Consider the following 10,230-nt stretch of genomic DNA (forward strand, 5'->3'; position numbering starts at 1 on the left):
TATTAGGAAAGTTTGAGGAGCATTGGTATTCATTCTTTATTTTGTAGAACTCACTGGTGAAACAAACAGGTCCAGGGCTTTTCATTGCCAATAAATTTTTGATTGCTGATTTAATCATCATACCAATTATATGTCTATTAAGACATCAATTTTGTTGGTTTTCACAAAGCACCAACTTTCAGTGTCATTGGTTTTCTCTATTATTTTATATTCTATATTTTTTTAAAAATCTCTGTTCTGATACCTACTATTATTTTCCTTCTGATAGCTTTGGGTTTAGTTTCATTTATTTTCTAGTGTCTTACATTTAAAGTTAGATTGTTCATTTGAGATCATTTTTGCTTTTTAATGTAAGCACTTAAAGTTATAAATATTGATTTAACACTATTTTTGCTGTGTCCCACAATTTTTGTATGTTATGCTTTGGCATGTTATGTTTTCATTTTCTTTTGTTTCTAAGTATTTCATAGTTACCTCATGATTTCTTCTTTGATTCACTTGTTTAAGAGTATATTATTTAATGTTTTAAAAATTATGAATCTTTCAGTTTTTTCCTACTGTTGATTTCTAAACCCATCCCAGTTTGTTTGGAGAAGATACTATGCAAGATATGTATTATTTTAAATATACTGAGATGTGATTTGTGGAATAACATATGATCTATCCTGGGAAATGTCAGCTGTACACTTGGGAAAAATGTATATTCTATTTTTATTGGATAGAGTGTTCTTATAGATCTGTTAAATCTGTTGTGTTGTACAAGTACTCTATTTTCTTACTTATCTTCTGTCTGGCTGTTCTATTATTGAGAGTGGAGTATTGAAGTCTCCAACTATTATTGTAGAACTTTTATTTCTATCTTCAATTTCATCAATGTTTACTTTATATTTCTATGATCTATTACTATAAATGTAATTGTCTGTAATTGTTATGTCTTCTTGCTGCATTAAAACTTTTATTAATATAGATGTCTTTAGTTGTCTTTTGTGTAAAATTTATTTATTTAAAGTTTATTTTGTCTAATATTAATATAGGTGCTCCTCCTCTCATTTGCTTACTATTTTTTCTATGGAATATCCTTTTCCATCCTTATACTTTCAACCTACATGTGTCTTTGAATCTAAAGTGACTCTCTTATAGACAGCATATAGTTGGGCCACGTGTTTTTACACCCTCTATTAATCTCAGGCTTTTGATTGAAATGTTTAAGCCATTTACATTTTAAGTAATTGTTAATAACTTACTTATGTCCTTTTGGTATTTGTTTTCCATATGCTGTTATTTTCCTCATTTCCTGCATTATCGTTTTATTTATTTGTGTGCTTATCTGATTTTTTTTTGTAGTTAAGCATTTAAATTCCTTTCTTATTTCATTTTGTACCTATTTTTAAGATATTTTCTTTGTGGTTTTCATGGGTATTTAACAGCTGAAAGGTATAATGCTCTAATTTGAATAATTACAAGCCTAACTTTGATAACATACCAAAACTCTATTCCTTTGATAACTCTGTTTCAGCCCATGTCAATTGTTGATGTCACAAAATTATACCTTTATAAATTGTGTCCAAAAACATAAGCTAATAATTTTAAAATGTATTAAACTTCTAAGTTATGTAAAATACAAATGTAAAGCTACCACCTAAAGTTACAATAATACTATCTTTGAAACTAATAAGTGTCTGGGTTTTGAAAAATGTATTAATTGCTTAAATCATGCAGAAAACAAAAACTGGAGTTACACACCCTTGTTACAATAATACTAGCTTTTATAATTATTCATATATTTATTTGGCTAAGATCTTTACTTCTCCTGATTGCTTCTAGTTATGCTAAAGTGTTCTTTCATCTCAACCTGCATGACTATCATTAGCATTTTTTGCAGAATATGTGTAATAATAAGGAGATATCTCAGCTTTTGTTTATCTGGTCATGTCTTAATTTTTTTCTCACTTTTGAAGAACAATATTGCCAGATATTGGATTCTTAGTTGACATTTTTTTCTTTTAATATCCAAAATAAATCATCCCACTGCCTTGTGGTCTCCAAAATTTCTGAAGAGAATTTTGCAGATAATTTTAGTGAGGTTCTGGTATATGTAATGATTCACTTATCTCTTGCTCCTTTCAAAATTAACTCTGTGGGGTTTGACAGTTTGAGTGTAATTTCTCTAGTGTGGATCTTTTTCTAATTATTCTTCTTGAAGTTCATTGTCATATTTGGATGTTTATATTCATGTCTTTCATTGAGTTTGGGGAGTTGGGGTCATTATTTATTCAAATACTTTCTCTGCCCTTTTCTCTTTCTCTTCCCCTCTTGGAACTCCCATAATGCAAATGTTGGTCTGCAAGATGTTGTCCCACAAACACCTTTTGCTATGTTCACTTTTCCTCAATGTTTTTATGTTTGTTTTTGTTCCTTAGACTGGCAATTTTTATTGTTCTATCTTCAAGTTTACTGATTCTTCTTTTGCCTGTTTACATATGCCTTTGAATTACTCAAGTAAAATTTTTATTTCATTTATTGTACTTTTCAGTTTAGAATTTCTTTCTGTTTTCTTTATATATTTTATCTTTATTGATGTTAACATTTTGTTAATGTATAATTTTCTTGAGTTTCTCATCTTTTAGTTTTTTGAGCATCTTTAATACAGTACAGATAGTAAAAATAGTTTACTATTATAGTAAAAATAGAACTCAGAGATGAGATATAACAAGGTTCTGATATTATATTACCACATGTATTTACTCTAGCAATATATAACTGATATAAGAAAAAGTAGAAGTAGAAATAAAAATGAAGATAATTCATTTTATTTTGTAGAACGTGTGTACAAGATTAAAATAAAAGTTTAGTTTAGAAATTTTGTCTATTGCAATAAATATACTAGGTATTATTTCTCTATGGTAAAAGTGACTCATAACTGTGAACCAAAATAAGATTCAATTTTATTAAACTATTAATTTTAAAATAATAATTTTCTGAAAACAAAGATCTAGACAATTATTATTGTTACTATTATTAGAATATAATGTTTTTGCTATCTCATATAGTAGTATTGCAGATATTTTCTAGTAGAAAGGAGTGTATTATACATAATATATGTAATTTTTTGGAATTTTTTTACTGTCTTGTGAAAATTAAAACACTTGATTTTTGTACATTACCTATGTATGTAATTAAAACTAGATCAATTAATCAGATAAAATAATAACTAGTCCTAGGAATTTGTGACACCTGGATCCTGGTAACATTTTGTTTAGCTGTAGTATATCTTTTTCTATCCCTTTACTTTTAACCTGAGTCTTTATATTTTAACTGGATTTCTTACATAGAGCATACAGTTGATTATTGTTTTATTATATAATCTGACAACCTCAGTTGTTTAATAGTTACATTTAAATTAGTCACATTTTAAGTGATAGTCACATTCATATCTACCATATTTATAACATTTTAATAGTCATTACATTTCTTGTTTTTGTTCTTTTTTTGTCTTTTCTGGTTTTAATTGAATGTTTTATATGTTTCCATTTATCTCATATTTTATTGTATCAATTATATTTTAAAAGAACGTTTTAGTTGTTGCACTAAAGTTTCCAATATGTCTTTTTAGATAACTTAAGGCTACCTTCAAATAATACTATAGAACTTCAGGTGTAGTGCCGTTAACTTGTAACAGAATATTCCTAATTGTTTTCCCCAGTTTTTATTAATACTGATTTGATTTATTTCCTTTATCAATACACTGTCATCACACAATAGATTATTACTATTACTATTTTGAATCCAGAGGTCCATAAGATAAATTAAGAATGAGAAAAATAAAAGATTTTACTCATTTTATATATTCCTTATCAGACATTCTTTCTTCCTTTATGTAAAACCATGTTTCTGAATGTTATCATTTCTTTCTCCCTAAAAACATTTTCTCTAATTTTTTTTTGGTGACATATCCTGCAGGGTTTTTTGTTTTGTTTTGTTTTGTTTTTTGTCTTAGAAAACCTTTGTTTCTCCATTTATAAAGGACAATATTACTGGATATATGATTCTAGGTTGTTGAGTTTTGTCCTTTAAACACTTTAAATATTTCATTCCATGCTCTTCTTGATTGCATGATTTCTGTTGACAAGTCCACTGTAATTTCTCTTAGGTAATTTGTAATGTTTTTAACTTTTATTTTAGATTAAGAGGGAACATGTGCAGGTTTGTTATTTGTCTATATTGCATGGTACTGGCATTTGGATACAAATGATCTCATTACTCAGGAACTCAGCATCATACACGCTAGTTACTTTTCAACTCTTACTCCACTCCCTTCCTCTCTACTCTAGCAGCCCCCAGTTTTTATTGTTGCCATCTTTATGTTCACAAGTACACAATGCTTAACTCCCACTTACATGTGATAACATGTGGTACTTGGTTTTCTCTTCCTGCTTTATTTTATTTAGGATAATGGATTCCAGCTGCACCCATGTTGCTGCAAAGACTATTTTTTTTATGGCTGTGCAGTATTCCATGATATATATATATACACCACATTTTTGTTATCCAATCCACCATTGATGGGCACCAAGATTGATTCCATGTCTTTGCTATCGTGAATAGTGCTGCAATGAACATGCAAGTGCCTACATCTTTTTGATAGGATGAAGTATTTTCTTTAGGATATACATCTGGTATTGGGCTTACTGTGTTGAATTGTAGTTCTAAGTTATTTGAGAAAACTCCAAACTGCTTTCTACAGTGGCTGGACTTATTTGCATTCCCACCAATAGTGTATAAATGTTCTCTCTCCTCTGCAGCCCCACCAGCATCTGTTGTTTTTTGACATTTTTTATAATACCCTTCTGACTGGTGTGAGATGGTATCTTTTTTGTTTTTGATTTGCATGTATCTGATGCTGAGTGATGTGGAGCATTGCTTCAGCTGTTTGTAGGCCATCTGTATGTCTTATTTTGAGAAGTGTCTGTTCATGTATTTTGTCCATTTTATAACAGGGTTACTTGTTTTTTGCTTTTTCAATTATTTAAGTTTCTCATAGCGTCTGGATACCAGACTTCTGTTGAATGCTTTGTGCATAAATATTTTCTCCCATTTTGTAGATAATTTACACTGTTGGTAGTTTCTTTTGCTGTGGAGAAGTTGTTTAGTTTAATTAGGTTCCACTTGTGAATTTTTGTTTTTGTTATATTGCTATTCATAACATAGTCATAAATAATTTGCCATGTCCAGAATGATGTTTCCTAGGTCTACTCTAGGATTATTATAGTTTGAGGTCTTACATTTAAATCCTTAATTCATCTTGAGTTAATTTTTATATATGGCAAAAGGAAGGGGTCCAGTTTCATTCTTCTGCTTCATGGTGACCTATCTCAGCAGCCTTTATTAATAAGGAGTTTTTTCTCTATTTTTTGTGGCCACTTTGTCAAAGATCAGATGGCTATAGGTGTGCAGCTTAGTTCATGAACAATAGTTCATGAATTTTACATTGTTCTATAGGTCTGTTTTTGTATCCGTATAATGCTGTTTGAGTTACTGTATCCTTATCATATAGTTTTTATTGTTTCCATATGAATTTTATAATAATTTCTAGTTCTATGAAAAATGACAGTGGTAGTTTGATACAAATAGCACTGAATCTGGGAATTGCTTTGGGCAGTATGGCAGTTTTCGCAGTATCGATTCTTCCAATCCATGAGCATAGATTTTTTTTTCATTTTTTGTATTATCTCTGATTTATTTCAGCAGTGTTGTGTAATTATACTTAACAGAGATATTTTACCTCCTTGGTTACATATGTGCTTAGATTTTTTTTTTTTTTTTTTGGCTATTGTAAAAGTAATTGTATTCTTGATTTGACTCTCAGCGTGAACATTATAAATGTATAGATATATTACTAATTTTTAAAATTGATTTTGTATCCTGAAACTTCATTGAAACATTTTATCTGTTCCAGAAGCCTTTTCGTGGATTCTTTAGGGCTTTCTAGGTATCAAATAGCATTACCAGCAACAATAAATAGTTTGACTTCTTTTCCTATTAGGATGTCTTTTATTTCTCTCTCTTTCCTGACTGCTCTGTCTAGAATTTTCAGTACTATATTGAAAAGGACTGGTGAGAGTTAGTATCCTTGTCCTGTTACATTTCTCAAAGGGAATGCATTCAGCTTTTTCCCATTCAGTATGTTGCTGGCTCTTGGTTTGGCATAGATGGCTCTTATTCTTTTGAGGTCTGTTCTTTTGATACCTAGTTTCTTGAGGGTTTTATAAAATTAAGCAATCTTGGATTTAATCAAAAGCATTTTCCAGATCTAATGAGATGATTATATGGTTTTTATTTTTTATTTTGTTTATGTGTGAATCACATTTGTTGATTTGCATATGTTGAACCAATCTTATAATCTAGGAATAAAGCCTACTTGCTCATGGTGAATTAACTTTTTGATGTGCTACTAGATTCATTTTGCTAGTATTTTGTTGACAATTTTTGCATCTATGTTCATCAGGGATTTTGGTCAGTAGCTTTCTTTTTGTGTCTCTGACAGATTTTGGTATTAGGAGGATTTTGGTTTCCTTAAATGAACTAGCAAGGACACCCTCTTCCATGACTTTTTGGGATAGTTCCAGCAGGGCTGATACCACCTTTTTGTACATGTGGTAAAATTTGGCACTGAATCTATCTGGTCCAGGGCTTTTGTTGTCGTTGTTGTCATTGTTTGATATGTTTTTTAAATTACTGATTCGATTTTGGAACTCATTATTGATCTATTTAATGTTTTAATTTCTTCCTGGTTTAGTCTTGGAAGGTTGTGTTTTTCCAGGAATTTAATTTATCCACCATCTCTGGATTTTCCAGTTGCTTTGCATAGAAGTGTTCACAACAGTCTTTGGGGATTTGAAATACAAATACTATTGTATTTCTGTGCGTTCAATTGTAATGCCAACTTTTTCATTTTAGATGGTGTTTATTTGGATCTTCTCTTGTTTTTCTTTGTTAATCCAGCTAGTGACCTAAGAATCTTGCATATTCCTTCAAAAAACCAACTTTTTGTTTTGATTTTTCGTATGGATTTTGGTTCTCAATTTTGTTCAGTTCTGCTCTGATTTAATTAGTTATTTTTTTCTGATAGCTTTGAGATAAGTTTGTTATTGTTTTTCTAGTTCCTCTAAGTGTAATGTTAGAGCATTAATTTAAGAGCTTTCTAACTTTTCGACATAGGCACTTAGCACAATAAACTTTACTCTTAACACTGCTTTTGCTGAATAACAGATTTTGGTATGCTTTATTTCTGTTTTCATTAATTTCACATAATTTTGTAAGCATGACTTCATTTTATGTTTACCCAAAAGTCATTAAGGAGTAAGTTGTTTCATTTCCATGTTATTGTGTGTTTTGGGGAGGTCTTGCTGGCACTGAATTCTAATTTTATTGCAATATGTTCTAAGAGTATGGTTGGTCTGATTTTTATTTTTTAAATTGTATTGAGAATTGCTTTATGGTTGAGAATGTGATTGGTCTTACAGTATGTTCTGTGTGCAAATAAGAATATATATTTGTATATTCTGTGGTTTCTGTGGTTTTGGATGTTTGGTGGAGTATTCAGTATATGTATACTAGGTCAAATTGGTCAAGCATGGGTTGAAGTCCAGAATTTCTTTGCTGGTTTTTTGCCTTGATGATCTAACACTGTCAGTGTGATGTTGATGGCCCCCACTATTATTGTATGGCTAAGTCCTTTCATAGGTTTAGAAGTACTTTTTTATTAATCTGGCTGTATGGGTGTATAAAGATTTAGAATAGGTATGCCTTCTTGTCGAATTGAACAGCGTATCATTATGTAATGCCCTTCCTTTCCAGTTTTACTGTTATTGGCTTAAAGTCTGCTTCATTTGGTACAAGAATAAGTGACAGTTGTCACTTATTTGTTGTTTTCTGTTTGCATAATAGATCTCTCTTCATTCTTTAACTTTGAGCCTGTGGGTATTTTTATGTGTAAGATGGATCTCTTAAAGACAGAAGCCAGAAGTTTATATATATATATATATATATACACACACATATATATATATGTATATATATATGTATATATACACACACAAACTTTATATATATATTTATATATATTTATATATGTACATATATATTTATATATGTACATATATATTTATATATATTTATATATGTACATATATATTTATATATTTATATATGTACATATATTTATATTTTTTAATATATGTATATATATTTATGTAATTATATGTATTTTTATATATTTATATATTTATATGTATTTATATATTTTTATATATTTATATATACATTTATATATATTTATATATATATTTATATATACATTTATATATTTATATATTTTTATATATTTATATATTTTATATATTTATATATAAAGCTTTTTTATATATATAAAGTTTATATATAAAATTATATATATTTATATATAAACTTCGTATATATATTTATATATATACTTTGTATATATATTTGTATATATATGAAGTTTATATATGTATTTATATATAAAGTTTATATATATATAAAGTTTATGTTTATATATATATATATATAAACTTTATATATTTATACACAACTTGCCCCTCTTTGCCCTTTAAGTGGGGGTATTTACCTGGGCGTGGTGGCTCACACCTGTAATCCTAGCACTTTGGGAGGCCGAGGGGGGCAGATCACGAGGTCAGGAGATCGAGACCATCCTGGCTAACATGGTGAAACCCCGTCTCTATTAAAAATACAAAAAAAACTAGCCGGGCATGGTGGCAGGCGCCTGTAGTCCCACCTACTCAGGAGGCTGAGGCAGGAGAATGGCATGAACTCAGGAGGCGGGGCTTGCAGCAAGCCAAGATTGTGCCACTGCACTCCAGCCTGGGTAACAGAGTGAGACTCAAAACAAAAAAAGTGGGGGCATTTAGACCGTTTAACTTCCAGATTATATGAGGTTTGGATCCTGTCATCACGTAGTTAGCTGGTAGTTTGTAGCCTTGATTTTGTAGTTGCTTTATAGGGTCTGTGGGCTGTGTGGTTAGGTAGGTGTGTTTTGTGGCAGCAGGTATTGGGGGACCTGCCCCGATAATCACGTAGGTTCTTTTCTATTTTCCTAAGCGTCGGCTGGCTTGAGAAATAAAGGGACAGAGTACAAAAGAAAGAAATTTTAAAGCTGGGCGTCCGGGGGAGACATCACACATTGGTAGGATCCGTGATGCTCCACAAGCCACAAAAACCAGCAAGTTTTATTAGGGAGTTTCAAAAGGGGAGGGAGTATACGAATAGGTGTGGGTGACAGACATCAAGTACTTAACAGGGTAATAGAATATCACAAGGCAAGTGGAGACAGGGCGAGATCACAGGACCACAGGACCGAAGTGAAATTAAAATTGCTAATGAAGTTTTGGCACCATTGTCATTGATAACATCTTATCAGGAGACAGGGTTTTGAGATCAACCGGTCTGACCAAAGTTTATTAGGCGGGAATTTCCTCTTCCTAATAAGCCTGGGAGCGCTATGGGAGACTGGAGTTTATTTCACCTCTGCAATCTCGACCATAAGAGACAGGTACGCCCCGGGGGGGGCCAGTTCAGAGACCTACCCCTAGGTGCGCATTCTCTTTCTCAGGGACGTTCCATGCTGAGAAAAAGAATTCAGCAATATTTCTCCCATTTGCTTTTGAAAGAAGAAAAATATGGCTCTGTTCTGCCCGGCTCACCTGCGGTCAGAGTTTAAGGTTCTCTCTCTTATTCCCTGAACAATTGCTGTTATCCTGTCCTTTTTTCAGGGTGCCCACATTTCATATTGCTCAAACACACATGCTGTACAATTTGTGTACTTAACGCAATTATTACAGGGTCCTGAGATGATATACATCCTCCTCAACTGACAGGATTAAGAGATTAAAGTAAAGACAGGCATAGGAAATCACAAGGGTATTGATTGGGGAAGTGATAAGTGTCCATGAAATCTTTACAATTTATGTTTAGAGATTGCAGTAAAGACAGGCATGAGAAATTACAAAAGTATTAATTTGGGGAACTAATAAATGTCCATAAAATCCTCATAATCCACATTCTTCTGTCATGGCTTCAGCCGGTCCCTCCCTTTGGGGTCCCTGACTTCCCGCAACAAGCAGGTATTGTTTTTGTGTTTCCATTTTTAAAACTGCCTTGAAGACTGCTTGTAAGGCTTGTCAAGTGGTAACA

The 10,230-nt window shown here is 31.3% G+C and overlaps 1 annotated feature.

Moving 5' to 3' along the window:
* Positions 9,141–9,738: an enhancer, noted in NCBI's record as "OCT4-NANOG hESC enhancer chr14:42009653-42010250 (GRCh37/hg19 assembly coordinates)". NCBI's record gives its function as "activates a minimal SCP1, AML or CMV promoter by ChIP-STARR-seq in naive H9 embryonic stem cells {active_cell/tissue: H9 hESC(naive)}" and the evidence as "EXISTENCE:reporter gene assay evidence [ECO:0000049][PMID:30033119]".

The sequence above is a fragment of the Homo sapiens genome, chromosome 14, assembly GCF_000001405.40.
Source record: "Homo sapiens chromosome 14, GRCh38.p14 Primary Assembly".
Taxonomy (NCBI): Eukaryota; Metazoa; Chordata; class Mammalia; order Primates; family Hominidae; genus Homo; species Homo sapiens.